The sequence below is a fragment of the Homo sapiens genome, chromosome 3, assembly GCF_000001405.40.
Source record: "Homo sapiens chromosome 3, GRCh38.p14 Primary Assembly".
Taxonomy (NCBI): Eukaryota; Metazoa; Chordata; class Mammalia; order Primates; family Hominidae; genus Homo; species Homo sapiens.
This window is the reverse complement of record NC_000003.12, coordinates 57,369,523-57,390,320: the sequence shown is the minus strand read 5'-3', so window position 1 is coordinate 57,390,320 and position 20,798 is coordinate 57,369,523. Positions and strand designations below refer to the sequence as shown.

The window sequence follows — 20,798 nt, the reverse complement described above, 5'->3', positions numbered from 1 at the left end:
CCACCTCAGCCTCCAGAGTAGCTGGGACTATAGGTGTATGCCACCATGCCCAGCTCATTTTTAAATTTTTTATAGAGACAGGGTTTCTCTATGTTGCCCAAGCTTGTCTCCCACCTCAGCCTCCCAAAGTCCTGGGATTATAGGCACGAGCCATTGTGCCCAGCCCTAAGTCAATATTGGTGCTCTCAGTTGGGCACGGTGGCTCACGCCTGTAATCCCAGCACTTTGGGAGGCTGAGGTGGGTGGATCATGAGGTCAAGAGATGGAGAGCATCCTGGCCAACATGGTGAAACCCCATCTCTACTAAAAATACAAAAGTTACCTCAGTGTGGTGGTGCACGCCTGTAGTCCCAGCTACTCGGGAGGCTGAGGCAGGAGAATTGCTTGAACCCAGGAGGTGGAGGTTGCAGTGGGCCGAGATTGTGCCACTGCATTCCAACCTGGCAACAGAGTGAAACTCCATTTCAAAAAAAAAAGTATTATATATATATATATATACACACACACACACACACACACACATATGTGTATATATATTTATATGTATATATGTATGCTTTCATTTCTCTTGCTAGTGATTGTTTTATGCCTGAGCCCATGTATGAGCCATTCCTTGCCAATGGGTCTTGAGGTAAAGTCTGCTGGGGAGCTTTGGGGAAAAAAAGTATTTTCACTATAAAAGGAGTCACATGGTAAGAAAAGGGCCTTTTTTGTCTCTCAATCTTGTTGCTTGAGAATGTGATGCCCATAGCTGCAGCAGTCATCATGTCACCATAATGGGACAAGCCCAAGTATGAAATAAAGTGCACTGAGAAAGGGAACAACAAGACGGAAAGAACGTGAATACTTGATAATATAGTTGAGCTTCTAAATGAAGCAACCCTGGAAATACCCTACTTCTGGGTATTACTCTATAAGAATATGCATCTTCTTTTTTTTGAAGATACAGTAAGACTGGTTTTCTGCCTCTTTAGTCATAAATATTCTAACTGCCAAAGATAGTATTAAATGTGCATGATTATTAGCAGGATGATTAAAAATGAAGCACCCAGAACATAAATATAAGCCTCTGTAATGTTTTTTTTTTTTCCTGTGGACCTGCTTTTTAATGGAGGGGACAGAGAGTAAATAAGATAAAGAAGTAAATATACACAAGATAAAATATACATGAACTGGTGACAAACACTAAAGGGAAGACTAAAACAGGAAGAAGTGCATGGGAAAGGTGGGGGAAGAGAAAGAGAATGTTGTAATTTATTTATTTTTTATTATACTTTAAGTTCTAGGGTACATGTGCACAACGTGCAGGTTTGTTACATATGTATACATGTGCCATGTTGGTGTGCTGCACCCATTAACTCACCATTTACATTAGGTATATATCCTAATGCTATCCCTCCCCCCTCCCCCAACCCCACGACAGGCCCTGGTGTGTGACGTTCCCCACCCTGTGTCCAAGTGTTCTCATTGTTCAATTCCCACCTATGAGTAAGAACATGCAGTGTTTGGTTTTTTGTCCTTGTGATAGTTTGCTGAGAATGATGGTTTCCAGCTTCATCCATGTCCCTACAAAGGACATGAACTCATCCTTTTTTATGGCTGCATAGTATTCCATGGTGTATATATGCCACATTTTCTTAATCCAGTCTAAGCCTCCTCTGTAATGTTTTTTAATGATGTGTAAGTTATATGACATTTAACCTGGCATTTTATAAAATTTCACTAATCTTAATAGTTCTTTAGAAGTCTCTTTTTTAGATTTAAAATATATATTGGTACAATTGGATCACATGAATATAACAATCTATTAATAAAAAATGCATACACTGGCAGTATGTGCTTAGGCTAGACACCAAAAAAAAAATGGTCTTAAAATGCATATTGTCTGCCACAAAGGAAAAAAATTATAAGCATATTATTGAAACTAAATGAAAGGAAATCTGGAAAATACTCTAGTGAACAAATAAAGATTAATGATATGCCATGTATTGGTAAGTGCTGAGAAGAAAACTCAGTATAAAAGACAGAGTAATGGGGGAAGGAATGCTGTTTTATAAAGAGTGCTCTGGTAAGTCAGTATATGAGCTTGGATGTGAAGGAAGTGACAGCATGAACCACATGGAGGTCTGAGGGAAGAGGGTTCTGGTCAGAGGGAAAAGCACGTCCAAAGACTCAGAGGTAGGAGCATGCTTGGCATATTCCAGGAAAGCCAAGGAAGGAACCATTTCACTAAGATGGAGAGGACTGGCTAGGAAGCAAATTTGTAGGGAAGAAAATTTAAAAATCAACTTTGGACATTATAGTAGAAATTGTGATCGTCTCCCAGTAACAGAAACCCAACCTAAACACATTGGGTTTTTTAACTGTCATATGAAAAAAAAATCTAAAGGTAAGCAGAGTGGGGCTTTTGTGGCTTAACAAAGTCATGAGGATCCCAAGTTATTTCTGCTTTACTCTCCTTAGCATGTGATTTCCATTCTCAAAGTAACTTATGACCTGAGGTGGCTGCTGGAGTGCCATTGTTCACAACCATGTTCCAAACAAGAAGTAGAAGAATGAAAGTAGGCCAAAAAGGATATCCCAGCTCTATGTAACTCTCTAAAAAGTCTTCCCTGAAGTCTCCACCCAACAACTGCTTATGTGTCATTGGCCATTCTGAATTCCAAGGGAGTCTAGGAGATTTAGTCTTTTAGCTGGGTATATTGCTATCTAGAATAAAATTGGAGTCCTAAGGAAGAAGGGGCTAGTAGATATTGGGTGGGCAACTAGCAGCTTCTGCCACTGTCATGATAAATTTAGGATGCCTACTAGACATGCAAGTAGAAGAGTTGGGAAGACAGTGTAATACATCTTTGATAACTAAAATTTCATTGATCCTTCCTTTATATTATCCTTTTTTCATTTTAATATATAAGAATATTAGGTCTTTCAGAGACCTCAGTCCCTCTTATTCTGTTTTCTTCATTAAAGTTTTGATTTTCTCAACACCAAATTATTCTCCCATAGAAAGTCATGTAACTTATTATGCATTAACTTATGGAGTTGGAATGAGACTACTGTTCATCTTAAATTTCAAGTGTTTTTCTTTTTCTTATTTTTAGTCATGGCCTGAAGATGCTCTTGAACGTGTAGCTGTGAAATTCTTAGAAACACTGGAGCTTACTGAGGTTGAACAACAAGAGATAGTTCCAATCTGTAAACACTTTCACACCTCCATTATGGATCTTTCAGAAAGGTTAATATTAGTGAATTTAAAAATGACAATGAAGGGATTTGTGAAGGCCATTTCCAAATTAATTCACATGTATTTGCTATCTTATCTGCTATCCCCTTTCCTACTGTACTTAACCTGGTTTACATGATATCTTGGGTCTCTTACCAAGTTAGATCCTCCTGGCTTATGAAACATGTGAAATAGTCTGATTCTTTCTTGTTGTAGTTCATCTTTTATTAGACATATTTGTTGATTTGTGGTTTTTTAAAAGATAGGATCTCACTTGATTTGTGCCTTTTGAATATGTCACCACTAGTTGGTATTTTAGAGACAAGAAATTATAATGTGGTAATATGTAGGATTCTAGTCTTAAAATGTTCAAGTACTCAGTAGCTTCTGTATAAAATGTAATCTTTATTAAATGTCTGTTAATGGTATGTTGAATTTACCTTTTTGTGAAATCCATTACTTAAAGTGAGCTATGTTACCTGCCTCTCTTTTAGGTTCTTGCATGAGTTAGGACGACATAACTATGTTACTGCTACTTCTTATCTTGAACTCATTGGCTCATTTCGACAGCTTTTGACACAGAAGCGACAAGCTGTCATGGAAGCAAAACAACGATACATGAATGGGCTTGACAAATTAGCTTTTGCTGAGTCTCAGGTAAATTTGATGAGCTGCTCAAAATGGTAATATATACTGAGAAGTATAAGAAATAATAATACAAGCTACAATTTATTGAGAATATGTGATATGCCAGGCTCTTTGTTATGTCTTTCACATCTATTCCTTCAGTTATTCTTCATAACAACTCTATAAGGTGGACACTTCTGTGATCCTCATTTTACAAATGAGTACAGTAAGTTTTACAGAAGTTCAATAAGTTGCCTAGATCACACAGACTCAAATATATCATGTTTTATTTTTAATTAATTTTTTACCATTTAAGAGAATATAAGTTTAGGTCGCTTTTTATTGTAAAAGCTGGTTAAATATAAGATTTGTGGTTTTTTTAATGAGTCAAGTGCTAGTAATACTTACTAGTGTTAGTTCAACGTAAGTAATAGAGGTTTGGTTGGTTGATCTTTGTATCATGTCATGCACATAATATATCAGGAATACTCTGAGATGCTGCTTTGTTTTCAATCTACATTTCTTCCATGGTGACTGCATTCTCCTACTGAGGTCTTTTGTGAAGAAAACTGACCCACACTTTCTTTTTTTAGATGGAGTGTCACTCTGTCACCCAGGCTGGATTGCAATGGTGCAATCTCGGCTCACTGCAGCTCCACCTCCCGGGTTCAAGCAATTCTCCTGTCTCACCCTCCCAAGTAGCTGGGATTACAGGCACATGCTGCCACGCCTGGCAAATATTTTTATTTTTAGTAGAGATGGGATTTCACCATGTTCCCCAGGCTTATCTCAAACTCCTGAGCTCAGGCAGTCCACCGGCCTTGACCTCCCAAAGTGCTAGGATTACAGATGTGAGCCACCGTGCTTGGCCCTGGCCCACACTTTCATAGTTTTGTTTGTCATGCAAAGAACTAGAAGAAAAAGTTAAGATTTTCTGCTCCAATACTTTTATGGATACATTTAAATTTCTATTTTCTGCATTTGGTTTCAATAGCAATTATAGCAATGGAAACTTAATCATATTATAAACTGTCTCTTTAGGTTGGTGAAATGCAAATGGAGCTTGTTGAATTACAGCCCAAATTGGAGGAAGCTAAAATTGAAAATGCAAATATGATGCAGGTAGAGTATCCTGAATGTTTTTGATGTCAAAGGACAATTGAAATAAGTAAAATTAGCCTTGAAAATAAGGGTTAATGTTTTGCTACTAGACTTTAGAGACTTTACCCTTTTCCATTGACTGGCTATCTCACTGGGTCTAACGTGGGTTCTGTCTTTTTTGAAGGAATTTTTGAAGCCCATTTCCAAATTAGTTCACATGTATTTGTATATCCTCATTTTATTATAGACCCTTCTATCCTTCAAAATGATATGTTAGATTCCCTAATTTTCAAATATTCTTTTGTCTAGGATTGAGAAAGCAATAGGGTGTTTGAGAAATTGTCTTCATCTTTCACCTCTTTAGGTTATTGAGATAGAGTCTGTACAAGTGGAAGCGAAAAGACAATTTGTGAAATTGGATGAAGAGATAGCCAGTGGGAAAGCTGAAGAAGCCCAAGCTCTGAAAAATGAGTGTGAAAGTGACCTAGCTGAGGCGATTCCAGCCTTGGAAGCAGCTCTGTCTGCACTGGATACACTTAAGGCAAGTGTTTGAATTAGCTACTTTGTGTTTCATCAACCAAGGGAAGCTGAATATGGGTATTTGGCTTATTAGAAATGGCTGTATTTCAGTGGGTGATATTATATTGTTTTTGTCCAGTCAAATGAAACTTGGCTCTTAACAGTTTACCTTTGATATATTGTTGTTTTTATTTTATTTTATTTTTTGAGACAGAGTCTCACTTTGTTGACCAAGCTGGAGTGCAGTAGTGCAATCATGGCCCACTGCAGCCTCCATCTCCTGGGCTCAAATGATTCTCCTACCTTAGCCTCCTCAGTAACTAGGATCACAGACACACACCACTAGGCCTGGCTAATCTTTTTAAACATTTTTTTTTATAGAGACAGGGTCACCCTATGTTGCCCAGGTTGGTCTCAAATTCCTGGGCTCAAGCGATCCTCCCACCTTGGCCTCCCAAAGTGCTGGGATTACAGGCATGAGCTTCCATGCCTGGCCTATTTTTGCTTTTTATATATTATTTATAATTTTCATTGAGGATATTCTAGTGGGAATGAGACGAATAGACTCCAAGAGGCCAAAGTGGTTCTGTACATGGACCAGCAGGCATATGTTAAGTACAGTGTGCAGCCTCCTGGACCTGCATACACAGAAAAACTTAAAGGCCATTTCCAGTACAGCTGTGACTGGCACCTATCTGTACCACATTATGTTGTACGTAACTTTTTACAGGTCTTTAGGCAAGACCAGAACAACTGCACCAAGCACAGCAGGAGAGATAACATCTGTTGACTAGGGAGTCAACAGTGTATTCAGGTCCCATTCTTTGCCTTTTTTCCTAATCAATACTGTTTCATGTAACAGGCCTGACAAGACTGTAAACTCAACCTGTGGGTAATTCAGCATCTCACAGGATCGAACTCTGATTTTTCAGTAACATCAGCCCTGTAGTTATAAGACAAGATTGTTTTAGGGCATTTATAGAAATTTCCTAGTGCTGTGAATCAGGAATTTAAAACTCTGAGCTTACTATATTCTTTCTTCATGCTCTCAGTACTTTTTTTCTTTTCTTTTCTCCTTTTTTTTTTTTTTTAAGACAGGGTCTCACTCTGTCACCCAGGTTGGAGTGCAACGATGTGATCATAGCTCACCACAACCTGAAACTTTTGGGCTAAAGTAATCCCCCCCGCCCCCCACCCCAACTCAGCTTCCTGAGTAGCTGGGACTACAGTCACATGACACCATGCCTGGCTAATTTCTGGCACATTTAAGAGTCACTTATTACCCTGTGATCTTTCTGCATTCTCTCCTTAGAGATTTATTACAGCAGCTACTTAGTTTGACAAAGCCTTTAAGAGGCACTCCATTCTAGGTGACCATGAGCATTAATTTAAGTAACTTCTCCCTATGTTCCATGAATCTGCAGCACTCCATCCCCTGATATAGGATTCTTGATGGCTTCAAACTCTCACCAATTTAGGTCATTAATATTAGGTTCCCCTTTCATTGAGAGTCTGTTGCTTATACCCTTCCTGATATCAAATGCTGTATTACCTGAGTTAGAGTTCAGTTTCAGAGAAGAGAGTTGATTTTAGTATAAGTAGACAAAGATTCTTCAGGGAATTTTATAAATGGATTACAGAATTGTTGGAAGAGGTAAAAGAATCAGATCCCAGGCTGAGCTTCCAGGAATGACTCACAAAGCCACGCTGCAGAAATGGTCTACTAGAGCAGCTGTCTCTCTGAGTAGGAAGCCTCCAGAGCTTCCTACACTGCCACGTAACCTCCACTGTAATCTATATTGTCACAATGGATGTCTTGCACCCTGCCACTCTCCCCATTTGTCTGAATTCTAGTATCACTCAAGTGATCTGGAATCTAATTCTCACCCAGAACTTTAATTGCATGAAAAACTAAGATATATAGTTGTTAGCTTTCCAGCATTTGCATCTTGCAAGGAATGTCAGAAATATATTGGAGTGGGTAAGTGAATCTATACTATCTATTATAACAATATATACCTTTTTAGAAAATAGGTTTGGAATTGGGACGTACCTCTTCTTTCATCTTCTTCAATAGAACTAATATATATAAGCAAATATAGAGTTAAGTCTTTGTCTAAATTAGGATTCTTAACTTAGGTTCCACGTATGGGTGTGGTATGTGATTGTATATGTGAAAAATTATATTTTCTGGTGGATTTATAGCTGCCATTATATTCTCATAGGCATCTATGACTGACCCCTCCCAACATTTGAGAACCATTAGTCTTAATCTGTGCTGAATTCTCTTTTGTTAATTCTTTCATAACCTGAAGTAAAAAAAGAAAAAAAAAAAACTTTGATTTCAAATAAAAAGGGATGCTTTTATTATTCCCCAACATTACTTTAAAATTTTTCATTATTTAAAAGTAAACTATTCTGAATATGTCCTGTTTGTTTTTTGTTTTTTTCTTTTAGCCAGCCGACATTACGATTGTGAAATCAATGAAGAATCCTCCATCTGGTGTTAAACTAGTTATGGCTGCTGTTTGTGTCATGAAAGATATAAAACCAGAAAAAATTTCAGATCCTTCAGGGACTGGAGGCAAGGTAATAACTTGACACAGATTTGAATCATATTCATGAATGTATAGAACTTGTCAGCAGCAACTATTATCAAATATCAACAGTACCCAAATTAGGGAAGAAACATTGTTTTCCAGATATTGTCTGTATATATTCTAGGGTAAAGCTAAGACAATGTAGTGTCAAAAAACGTGGTTCCAGACCAGTCTGGCTAACCTGGTGAAACCCCGTCTCAACTAAAAATATATAAATTAGCCAGGTGCGGTGGTGGGCACCTGTCATCCCAGCTACTCAGGAGGCTGAGACAGGAGAATTGCTTGAACCCAGGAGGCAGAGGTTACAGTGAGCCAAGATTGTGCCACTGCACTCCAGCCTGGGTGACAAAGTGAGACTTCAGCTAAAAAAAAAAATATATATATATGGTTCTAGTTGCTTCCATCTCCTTTTCTGTCTATGCAGAATTCTCCACTACCATGGGCTTGGAACTAAATGAACACTGAGGTGCCTGTACTTTTCCAGCTAAGATCCTTTCTGGGTATTCCAAAACATCTGAGTTAAGCAGTATAGCAAAGTTGTTAAAAGCATGTGCCCTGGAGCTAGAATGTCTGTATTCAGAAATCCGGACCCCACTAGCAGTGTGACCTTGGTTAAGGTATTTAACATGTGTGGAATTCCATTAAAAAAAGATGGTACTCATAGTATCTACCTCAAAAAGCTAATAAGAGAATTAGATTAGTTAATACATATAAAGTTCTTAGGTGTAAAGCCTCACAAACAATAAGTACACAATAAATGTTAGCTGTTATTATTATAATTATTATTCCAGGATACATCCCTTAAAAAGGAAGGCATAGTATCCATTCTAAACTGAATTTACAGACTAATTTTATTTTCAGGTTTTTCTAATACCTGGGTTTAAATTCCTGAATTAAAGAATTAGATTTTTTTTTTTGGCCATTCTGTCCTTCATTGAGATAATAAAGAAAATATATAGGCTCTTACCTTATTAAGTTATTCTCATTTACACACACACACACACACACACACACCTCCCTATCAGGCTTCCGGAAGTAGAAAAAAAGAACTTTCAGCTGGTTATTTCAGCTCTTTTGCCAATATATGTAGCATGTGCTTTTACCCTATGGTTGGCAGAGCAATGTGTACTCTTTGGCCTTCTGCTTTCTCCTTTAATTTCGCTTGGAGAGCCTAGGTAAGTGCGGAATTTGTCTTTAAGAAAAAGTTTGCTACTTTTCTTATTTGAAAGAGTCAAAGAATAAAGGAAAATAAATTTAGAAGTAATAAAAATTTATTTTCTTATATGAAATTGTGATGGCGTTTATGCAAGTAGCTTAAGTTTTCAAAAGAAATAACCATTATTTTCCTTTCAGTGTTTACTTTTTTAAACAAATTCAGTCTATAAATGCATTTCCATATTTAAAAATATTTTATGTTTAACATGTTCTTGAGGAAAGTCTTAATTTCCAAGGAGATGTAAGTTGATATTTTGAAAGTATGTGATTAAGCTGGGCATGGTGGCTCACGCCTGTAATCCCAGCACTTTGGGAGGCTGAGGCAGGTGGATCACTTGAGGTCAGGAGTTGGAGACCAGCCTGGCCAACATGGTGAAACCCCCTCTCTACTAAAAATACAATAATTAACCAGGTGTGGTGACAGAAGCCTGTAGTCTCAGCTACTCGGGAGGCTGAAGTGGGAGAATCACTTGAACCTGGGAGGCAGTGAGCCGATATTGCACCACAGTACTCCAGCCTGGGCGACAGAGCGAGACTCCATCTCAAAACAAACAAAAAGTATATGATTAGTTTCTCTGGATAATGCCTCTTAAACTTCAAGAAGAAAAATTTTGCATCTAGCATTTTTAGTTGCAAATTTAACAAATTTCCATAAATTTTATTTGTAGATATTAGATTACTGGGGACCTAGCAAAAAACTTCTGGGAGATATGAATTTCTTAAGAGATTTGAAAGAATATGACAAGGACAACATTCCAGTGAGTTGCATTGGGTTTTTTTCTACAAATGTGACTTGGCTAAAATGTTTAAGAACGTTAATATTATGCAATAGTTTACAACACATACAGAAATAGTCCATTTTAGGATTAAGATAATTAATAAAGAGATATTACCTTTATTAATGATACTATGAGTTTTCATAATGTTTAAAACCATTGCTGTCTCAGATAGTTAAAAAGTTATTTAAGAAGATACTCTTTTAGTGTATAATTGAGTTGAAAGAGTTGTCTAAATGTCTTGTTATGATAAATTAATTATTAAGAAATCTGATACACAAATTTATGTAAGATTTAAAAAGTATAGCATATTATTTTCTATTCAAATTCTTATTCTTAATGTTTAATTGTTCTTTTCCATTGTTTCCATTTGTTCTCTCAACTTATGTCTTTTTTTTTTTTTTTTTTTTTTTTTTTGGGAGACAGAGTCTCATTCTGTCACCCAGGCTGGAGTGCAGTGGCGGGATCTTGGCTCACTGCAACCTCCACCTCCTAGGTTCAAGCAATTCTCCTGCCTCAGCCTCTTGAGTAGCTGGGATTACAGGCACCCACCACTATGCCCAGCTAATTTTTGTACTATTAGTAGAGACAGGGTTTTACCATATTGGCCAGGCTGTCCTCGAACTCCTGGTCTCAAGTGATCTGCCAGCCTTGGCCTCCCAAAGTGCTGGGATTACAGGTGTGAGCCACTGCACCCAGCCTAAACTTGTAAGTCTTTTAATATTTTTGGAAGAAACATTTTGCCTTAATATCTGTAATACATTTGCATATTTTGCTCACAAATATGACATACTTCTGCTACAATTATGCTTATTTTTAAATTATTTCAAAATACTTATTTTGGCTTTTAAAGCCAACATTAACTTTTTTATATAAATGTTTTTATTGTATATGATTTTTTTCCATCTGATGATTATGTGATCTATATTGAAATTTTAAAATTTAAATCTTTGTTGTATAGGTGACTGTTATGCAGAAGATTCGTAGTGAATACTTAATGAACCCTGAATTTGATCCCCCTAAGGTTGCTAAAGCTTCTTCTGCAGCTGAGGGTCTGTGTAAGTGGATCATGGCCATGGAAGTGTACGACAGAGTTGCAAAGGTACTTTCAACATTAGCACATCTGTGTTCTACTAAGATATTCCCAGGAATTAGAATCTGTGCTTATATTTACTGGTTAAGAAGTTTCTCAAAGTGACCACACAGAGAATTTGTTCTGCTGTAGTGTACTATCATATATCGATTGCATACCTAGCAGACGAGGAGAATATTTGTGCATAACATAACCTGGTTGGGGCTGGTGTGGGTGGTAGTGATGCAGGAGCAGGGATCATGAGTAGAATTAGTCAGATTTACTTATAGCTTTAGGACCCAGGAGAAAACGGAATTAAGATTTGATGAGGCAGAAGCAAAGAAAAATCTAAAACATCAAGGGGAAAGTGCCAGATTAAAAAGTTGATTCAAAGGATCAGAAGTAAGAGGATCCAGCAGAGTTAAGAGGCAGAGCATGGAAAGATCCCCTGAAACAAGAACATGCCTTGACATAGAACCTTTTATGGAATACCCACTGGGTCCAAATTTCTGGGAGAGCAGAGAATAGTTAAGAGCATTTTCTAAATTTGGCTAGCAAAGGACCAGGGCAACAAAGGCTTTGCCCTTGCAGCTTGCAGAATTCTACCTAAGGAAGAAAGAAATATAAATAAAAAGGTGTAGATGAAAATATATGGTAGCTTGTGTTTAAAACAAGCTCAGAAGATAGAATAAATGATCAAACTGTAATAATTGGGAAGGTCTTCCTAAATGATATATGTACATGTACCTGTAGAGAGATAGAGACTTTGTTAGTTTCAAAGGAGCAGACCTGAATAAACCTGTTAAAGAAATAAAATTAATTTTATCTAGGATGTCTTTCCATTAAACATCTTGTCCCTTCACACAGTAGTCTCATGGTAGCTCAGCTAATTTCCACATGTTCCACAGATGTGTGGAATCTTGTGGATCCTTTCTACAAAGCAGAGAAGCCAAGGCACTCAGGCTTTTTCCTGCCTTCCCACTCTATAACTCCACACTGCCATTTTTATTCTGATACAAGCTGCCCCATGCTGATACAGAAGCATGGGAGAGAAATATGCAACAATGTCTTCTCTGAAGTCAGAAGCAGAAAAGAGAGCTTCCTGCTTTCTGTCTACTTATTTAACACATTTTCTTTCATGATTTCAGTGCAGCAGAGAGAAAGCAGGGCATTTTGTGTCTGATACACTGCTCTCTCTCTCTTGTCCCTCCTTGCCTTCAGCTTCATTCACAGCAATTTACCAGAAGAGTTAGGTCTATCTTCTTTCTAACAGGCACACACTCTCTCTGGTCATCTTCTCCATTCTTTGTACCAAGGGCTTGGAGGATGCTTGGTGATCCAGTTGGCCAAACTGCATTCTTGATAGCCTGATGAGCATAACAAAAAAACTTTAGGAAATCCCTTTTCTCTCAGTCAAGTGTGGCTTTTCAGTATTTGTTGGGGAAAATTCAGTTTTGGTAGTGAAACTGAGCATTGAGGTTTTCTTCCTTTTTATTTCCACCATCACTGCTCTAATCCTGGCAAGGCAGATGTAAGCCTCAGTCTGACTGGGAAGAAAATCACAAGCTTGGAAAGGAAAAAAAAAACACCCAAAACATATTCATGTGTTTAAACAAACACTTATTATTTCATGTTATATGTTTTTCTGTTATTTGACAACAGTTAAGTGACACCTTCTCATTATTTTGAGACATCTTGTGACATTTTTGCTACATATTTTGACATTTTGTTAGCCTAGTATAAATTATCTATTTTATAGGTAACAATTTGCTAGTCCAGATTTATCTATTTTATAAAATATATAGGTATATTTTACTTTGTATGTGAAAACAGAAGATTTAAGGCAAAATGTTTATATAATTTATTACAATGCATTTCTAATCCATAATATTTATAAGGGAGGAATTATATAGATATCAGTTTTACAAAGTACACATCATATCTGCATATATTCTTCCCAAAAAGGTAGTGGCTCCTAAGAAAGCTCGCTTATCAGAAGCTCAGAAGTCTTTAGCTGAGACAATGGAGCTTTTGAATCAGAAGAGAGCAGAACTGGCAGAAGTAGAACATCATCTGGAAAATTTACAAATGACATTTCTTGAGAAAACAGAGGAAAAGGCTGCTTTAGAAGACCAGGTGGAACTCTGTGCTAAGAAGCTTGAAAGAGCCTCACAATTAATTGGAGGACTGGGTGGAGAAAAATCAAGGTCAGATTTCTATTTGTTTTAGCAAGATTTAGGAATGTCAGCCTTGAATATGTGACCTTCTTTGGGTATTTATTGTGATTACTGATTTTACAATGGCTGGTTGAGAATGTGGGACATTCTGGAAGACACCTGGCCAGGCTTCTCCAAACAAGGATATCAGTCTTGAGGATGGTGTTTACAAATTGCTTTCACATGGTCTTTTAAAAGAGGCAAACAAGGCAAATGGTAACAATTTTTTAAATCCAAGTGGTAAGTATGTAGTTGTTTGTTGTACAGTTCTTTCCAATTTTATGTATGTTCAAAATTTTTTGTAATGTTTGGAGGGATCAGTGAATGCATGGTTCATTGGTTAAATTTTATGTTAAGGAAGATATAACTGGCTTGATCTAACAAAGCCAGTAAGCTTTATTCTAATGTATTTACTTGGATTGGACAGCCAGCTGTTTCATTTATTCTATTCATTGAATGAATAGCATGATAAAGTAACAATGTGTCTTTGACAAGACTTTGTAGTACAGATTAGATAGTTTTGGAATACACTTTTTTATTGTATGGGTTTCATTAAATGGGAAAAATACCAATCTTAGTATGTCAGCTTCTATACAGCTTAAATGTAATTTTTGGTAATGAATTGCAAATGTTCGTATGTTTTACAGTCTAACAATAAATACTAAAACAAATAGCACAGCCACTAGACCAAATCATCCAAGAGAAAATTATTAGGCAAAATGTTGGTGTTTGGGTTTTGTTTTTTTTTTTCTTTTTCTGAAGGGCCAAGTCCTGCAAGAAATGTCTAATATTCTAATAATGAAAGGAAGATTGTCATTCACATAATATAGATACATGTTATAGCGTATAAGAGCTAGAAGGGTTCCAACCTCATTTTACAGATAAGCAGGTGTCCAAATTTTATAGCTTTTTGTTACAGAATTGGACTGGAAACCCTTGCCCTTTATATTACTGTCTCCCATCATTCTCTGTTGTAAATCTGTTTTGCCTTTGGTTGATGGCACAGATGGGCCCAAGCTGCAGATGACCTTCAGATAACATATGAAAATTTAACTGGCGATGTCTTAGTATCAGCAGGAGTAATAGCTTACCTTGGTGCTTTCACTTCTGGCTTTCGACAAACATGTACAAAAGATTGGAGCATGTTGTGCAAGGTAGTGGTTTTATATTTTGTAAGTCTTGTTTTAGAACATCCAAAGTATGTTTTGGGATATTTTGGGGGAAAGGATGATAATAATGGCAGAAGAGAAGAAATAACTGAAAACATGGGGTCTTTCTTTTTTTGCTTCTTGTTTCATCAGTAAAATACTTCCACTATTCAACTTTTAATTTCTTTTCTTTCTGTTCCTTAGAGTTATTAAATAATGCCTAGTGACAACTAAACCAATATTTTAATTTAAAAAATATTTCAGTTAACAAGGTGAAGGAAAATAGATTTTTGTTTATTTCTTACAGAAGAAAAAAATCCCGTGTTCAGAGGAGTTCTTGTTGAGTAAAACCCTGGGTGATCCAGTAAAAATTAGAGCTTGGAATATTGCTGGTTTACCAACAGATACATTTTCCATAGATAACGGAGTGATCGTTAACAACTGTAGGCGTTGGTAAGAAATATAAACTATTTGTTTTTTCTGTTGTTCTGTTTGAAAGTTTTCAAACATATAGAAACGTTGAAAGAATTTTATCATAAGCACCAATATAACTACCACCTCCTAGATTCTGCAATTAACATTTTAGTATTCTTGCTGCTTTATCATGTACCTGTCCTTCCCTCTATCACTCCGTCAACCCATCTTTTAAAATGCATTTCCATGTAAATGGCAGACATAGGTATGCTTCCTTCCAGGTACTTCAGCATGCATATCATCAACTAAAGTTCAATATTTGCTTATGTTTTATTCTTTTGAGGTAAAATTTACATACATGAAATACACAAAACCATACCATTCAGTGAGTTCTAACAAAGATATACACTGGTGTAACCCAAATCTCTATCAAGATACAAAACATGACTACCACCAGGGAAGTCTCCTCATGTTCCTTTCCAGTAAATCCCTACCCTCATCCCACCCCAGGAAATAATTGTTCTGATTATTTCCCGCCATAGGTTAGTTTTGCCTAGGTTATTTTTGTATGGATTACTTCTAGAATTTCATATAAAGGAATCATAATGTATATGTTATTGGGTAAGGCTTCTTTTGGCATATTTTTTTCTGAGATTTATCCATGTTATTGCATGCATTGGTACTCTGTTCCTATTTTTTGTTGCTGAGTTCCATTTTATGAATATATCACTGTTTATGTATTCTCCTACTGATGGACCTCTGGGCTATTTCTAGTTTCTGGCTATACAATGTACTTGTTTTAACTAGGTATTGCTACCCATCTTCAAGATACAGTAACTTGATAATTTATGCAATTTCATGGGTACCTTTTTTATTAGCTATCATTGTTAGTCTGATAACTATAAAAACTTTTCAAATGGCCTTTATTGTTATCCTTTTATTTATATCACTTTGAAAAACTTGGAAAACTACTTTCCTTTGAGAAATAGTTTTCTATAATGGTTATGTAGTGACACTATCATCTAATTTTAAAAGTCTTTTCATGGGACTGTGTCTCAAATATGCTGTGATAGATACTATGGAGCTCTTAGATTTATCAGATACTAGTCTAAGTGCCCTACATCTTCACAACATCCTGTGAGTTAGGTATTATTATTATCCCATTTTATAGATGAGGAAATTGAAGCCCAGAATGATTTAGTAATTTTAAATTAGTAAAGATAACTTAGTGAATAAGTGATAGAGTCAGAATTTGAATCCAGGCAATCTGACTTTCAAATCCTTGCCCTTAATTACTATGCTGGAGTGAATTGTAGAATAGGATATCACACTCACTGCCTTTAAAACCATAATGGAAATTTCACTCTTCTTTTAGATGAGATAAATTAAAGATATAAGGAAATCTAACATCCTGAAAGTTTGAGTTATTGTTTGTTTTATATTCTTTGCAAATCTTTCTGGAAGCTTCAAAACAACTCCTGTTTATATTGACAGTATTGTTTTAATAAAATAAGAATGTGTATAATCATATTGAGTTTGCACTCAAAACTTTACTTGAGAGCAAAGATACTTAGGTTGAAACTTATCGGCAATAAGCAAAATTTAATATAATCTGAAAAAGAATATATTTTGGTTATAAAAAATGTGTTCTGTGGTAGAGCAGGGATCATTCTGTTTAACAGAATATTAGACCCTTGAGTCGGTTAATTCTGTTTTAGAACCCATTTCCATGTGTTTCGTGACCATTCAGATTGTTTAAATTGCAATTTAGAAAATGGCTGTTGTGGGCTGGGCACGGTGGCTCACGCCTGTAATCCCAGCACTTTGGGAGGCTGAGGCAGGCAGATCACAAGGTCGGGAGTTCAAGACCAGCCTGGTCAATATGGTGAAACCCCACCTCTACTGAAAATACAAAAAAAAAAAAAAAATTAGCCAGGTGTGGTGGTGTGCACCTGTAATCCAGCTACGCAGGAGGCTGAGGCAGGAGAATCACTTGAACCTGGGAGGTGGAGGTTGCAGTGAGCCAAGATTGCGCCACTGCACTCCAGCTGGGGTGACAAAGTGAGACTCTGTCTCAAAAAAAAAAAAAAATCAGTTGAGTAATATAGATTAACTATAACCACTGAGTCCAAATTCTAATTCCTGTGAAAAACATCTGATTGGTCTAGCTTGGGACAAATATTCACCTTAGGTCTAGTAACTTACAGCTGCGGGACCCAAGCCAGAGTAACAAACATGAGTATTGAAGACCAGGAGTGTAGTTCTCAGAAAAAGAGTCATGACCTGGAAAAGCAGTGTACTTTTTACAGTTAGGACTCTCGTGTTTGCTTCCTTCTTTTTGCATTTTTGGACATGATGAAAGGTAATTTTATTTATTTTTATAATGATAGCCATTTACTCCAGCACTATTTGTTGAGTTATCCATTATTTCCTCACTGTTTTGTCCCTTTAGTCTTTCTAATTTTAGTGAGGACTTGTGAATTGCTTTTAAAATGACTTTTTCTTTCTATTTTTAATCACAGTATTTAGATCATTTACATTTAGTGGAATTATTGATACACTTAGATTTAAATCTACCATCTTGTTCTTTTCTATTTGTCTCCTTTGTTCTTTGTTCCTTTTTTCTTCTTTTTCTTCTTGGATTTGGATTAACTGAATTTGTTTTTTATGATTCCATTTTATGTCCACATTGGCTTATTGGTTAAACACTCCCTATTTTTAGTGTTTGTGCTGGTATTTATAATATCATCCATCTCTAGTTCTTTACTGAATATCTTCAAATAATTTTATGCTATTATATATATAGCGTAAATATCTTTCAACAGTATAATTCTCTTTTCTGTCTTTTGTGCTGTTATATATTTCACTTTTTCATATGCCATAAATTCTATAATACATTCTCTTTATTTTTACTTTAGACAATAATTTATCTTTTAGAGTGATTAAATATAAGAAAAAAAGTCTTATGTTTACCTTCATCTTTTTTCCATTTTGGGAACTCTTAATTTCTTTGAGTTTCTGTTTGGTTTCACATTTCTTCTGCCTGAAGAATGTCCTTTAACACTTCATGTGAACAGGTCTACTGGCAGTGAATTCAGCTTTTTTCTTTTTCTGGCCTAAAAAAAATCTTTTAAAACAATTAATATGTAATAGTTGTACATATTTCAAGGATATATGTGGTATTTTAATACATTCATTCCATGTACAGTGATCAAATCAGGATAATGGGGTATTCATCACTTTAAACATTTATATTTTATTTATGTCAGGAATATTCCAATTCTTCTTTTCTAGCAGTTTTGAATTATACAATAAACTATTGTTAACTATAGTTACCCTACTGCACTATCAAATGCTAGATCTTGTGCCTTCTACTTAACTATATTTCTGTATCTATTAACCAACCTTGAAAAAAGTCTTTATTTCATCTTCATTTTGAAAGAATTTTTTTTTTTTTTTTTTTTTTTTGCTGAGTTTAGAATTCTGGGTTGACAGTTGTTTTTTGCTTTTTGCTTTTGTTTTGGGGCTTTTTGTTTTTTCTTTCAAGATGTCACTACATTGCTTCTGACCTACATAGTCTGATGAGAAGTCTACTCTAAGTCTTACTTTAGTTCCTCTTTATGTAATGTATCTTTTTTTCCCTCTGGAAATTTTCCAATTTTTCTCTGTCTTTAGTTTTCAGCAGTTTGATGTGTCCAGGTGTGTATGCACGTGTGTTTGTGTGTGTGTGTGTGTGTGTGCGTGTTTTGAGATGGGGGTCTCAGTTTGTCACCTAGGCTGGAGTGTAGTAGTGCAATCATGGCCCACTGCAGCCTTGACCTCCTGGGCTCAGCCTCCTGATGTAGCTGGAACTACAGGCATTTGTAGTGCCCCCACCTCCCATCATTTTTAACAGCTGTATTGATATATAATTCATGTACCATAAAATTTACCCTTTTAAATTGTACAATTCGGTGATTTTTAGTATGAAATGCTACACTTAAGAAATACAAATACATTTTTAAAGTAATTTACCATTAATAGCCTAAAATCAAAGAACAAGTCATTTTGTAAGAAATGAATACTGTGAGTATATGTTAAGATGTTAAAAGAAGACATTTCATTAAAATTTTTCTTATCTTTGATATTTATATATATATTATGCTTTCCAAGAATAAAAAAAACTAAACTTCAGTTGGGGAACCACTGGAGTGGCAGTAGGGGTAAACTTTCAAATCTACTTTCAGCTGCAGTGTGTGTGTTGCCTTTGCTTCTTCCAGGATTCTTTGGTGTATTGCTGGCCACAAACATGTTAATTTTCCATCTTGGAGTTTCCTCAGTCATGCAGGTGGTATAAATTTATATCCTAAACCTGTATGAGATATAGACCCACAGCTACACATTCACATTTTCAGGGGACACTTTTTCCTAGCCAGATATGAGATGGGAATCAAAACATTTCCTTCTTATCTCTTTATGCATAGGCTTGAAATTTTTCTGTCAGTGACTTCATTAAGCCTTTTGTGAGTTTCAGCTTCATGCAAAGGTCTCAGTTCCAGCCTCCCCCAACATATGGACCTAGTGAGCCTCTAGGTTATCAGACTGATACTCTTCCCAAGTCCAGGTGTCAGTTTAGCTCACAAACTTACTGTTCTGGATTTTAGTTTTATCTGTTTGGGCACCTGTGTTTTTCTGTATCTATGTATTAGATATGTGTGGATGTATGTATGTGTCTTTTAAATGCAAGCCTCAATTAACCTGTGCATTTAAAATAATGTCATATTTTATCCATCAGTACTAGGAGGAAGAAGGATTTTTAGCCAGTCATGCTGTTGTGACCATAGTTTATAATTAATCATTGTGCTTGCTCTTTATAGTTTCTAACAGTTTGTCTGTTTATAATATTGTGCAATGGTTGAGAGCAGTTCAGACTCTGGAGTCAGGACATTTGGGTTCAAGCTTCCTCACTTTCTGTCTTGAGATTTTGGTAACGTATTTGACCTCTCAATGCCTTGGTTTCCCCATCTGTAAGTGAAAATAACTCCTACTTCATAGAAATGTTGTGAGAAAGCACTTAGCACATAAGTGCTCAAGAAATGTTAGTTTTTTATAATTATCTTTGAATATCTCATTTTAGTCTATATCTTAAGCTCTGATTTTGCTATGTTTCAACCATGATGAAAACACTTACTATGTCTCCTAGGTGGAGGTAGGAGACAAACAAATAAAATGCAAAATAGTCTGTTCCTTTTTTAGTGTTTATACATTGCTTTGGCTACTTAACAGCAAAGCTTATTTTCCTCCAAATTACCACCTCTGTCAGAAACATAGATGGATAATGCTGCTTTCTTCAGACTGCTCAAAGATCTCAAATGTAGCCTAGTATTATTTTCATACCTAGAGTAAGGTATACTTAGAATGCAAATACCATGGCCTGGCCTTATTTCTATGATGGACACAACAATCCAATTTTCCAGTATTCACATAAGGTTATATTAAATAGAAGTCAGATTTCTTTCAGAGTAGACAAGAATCTCTAATTATTGGATAACCAAGAACATTTATTTAGGCATTACCAAGGACATTTATTAACATTAGAATGTTAATTTATAGATGTTACATTTTGTGAGAGAATGAACACTTACTGTATTTTTCCAATAATAAAGACATGAAAGGAAGAAAATAATATCTCTTTAAACAGGGGCTTGAAAGGTACTAAAAGCATTTACTAGTCTAACTACTAGGTAACTTCTATGAAAAAATAACTTTATTGTTTGCTTTCTTGCTGTGGTAGGAAAAGTAGATTTTAAGTACCGTCTGGACCTTTTTGTACTTTAGGTGGGATTTCAGCACAATTAGAGCCAAGAAAGAAAACATCTAGTCAGCTAGTTTTGTCTTTGGGGAAAGA

The 20,798-nt window shown here is 36.0% G+C and overlaps 1 protein-coding gene across 9 annotated transcripts in view; it reads left to right on the top strand.

The window, feature by feature from the left end:
• DNAH12 (dynein axonemal heavy chain 12) overlaps nt 1–20,798 on the top strand; it is a 262,335-nt gene that overhangs the window by 165,714 nt on the left and 75,823 nt on the right. For 8 of the 9 annotated variants that reach the window (XM_047447667.1, XM_047447668.1, XM_047447666.1 and 5 more), the window contains 10 exons: nt 3,102–3,235; nt 3,718–3,880; nt 4,892–4,972; nt 5,316–5,492; nt 7,928–8,059; nt 9,954–10,043; nt 11,023–11,163; nt 13,099–13,340; nt 14,356–14,503; nt 14,805–14,950. In XM_047447667.1, coding sequence (XP_047303623.1) covers nt 3,102–3,235; nt 3,718–3,880; nt 4,892–4,972; nt 5,316–5,492; nt 7,928–8,059; nt 9,954–10,043; nt 11,023–11,163; nt 13,099–13,340; nt 14,356–14,503; nt 14,805–14,950 — 1,454 coding nt within the window. The remainder of the gene's footprint in view (nt 1–3,101; nt 3,236–3,717; nt 3,881–4,891; nt 4,973–5,315; nt 5,493–7,927; nt 8,060–9,953; nt 10,044–11,022; nt 11,164–13,098; nt 13,341–14,355; nt 14,504–14,804; nt 14,951–20,798) is intronic. The other variant, XM_011533468.2, reaches the window with a different exon arrangement.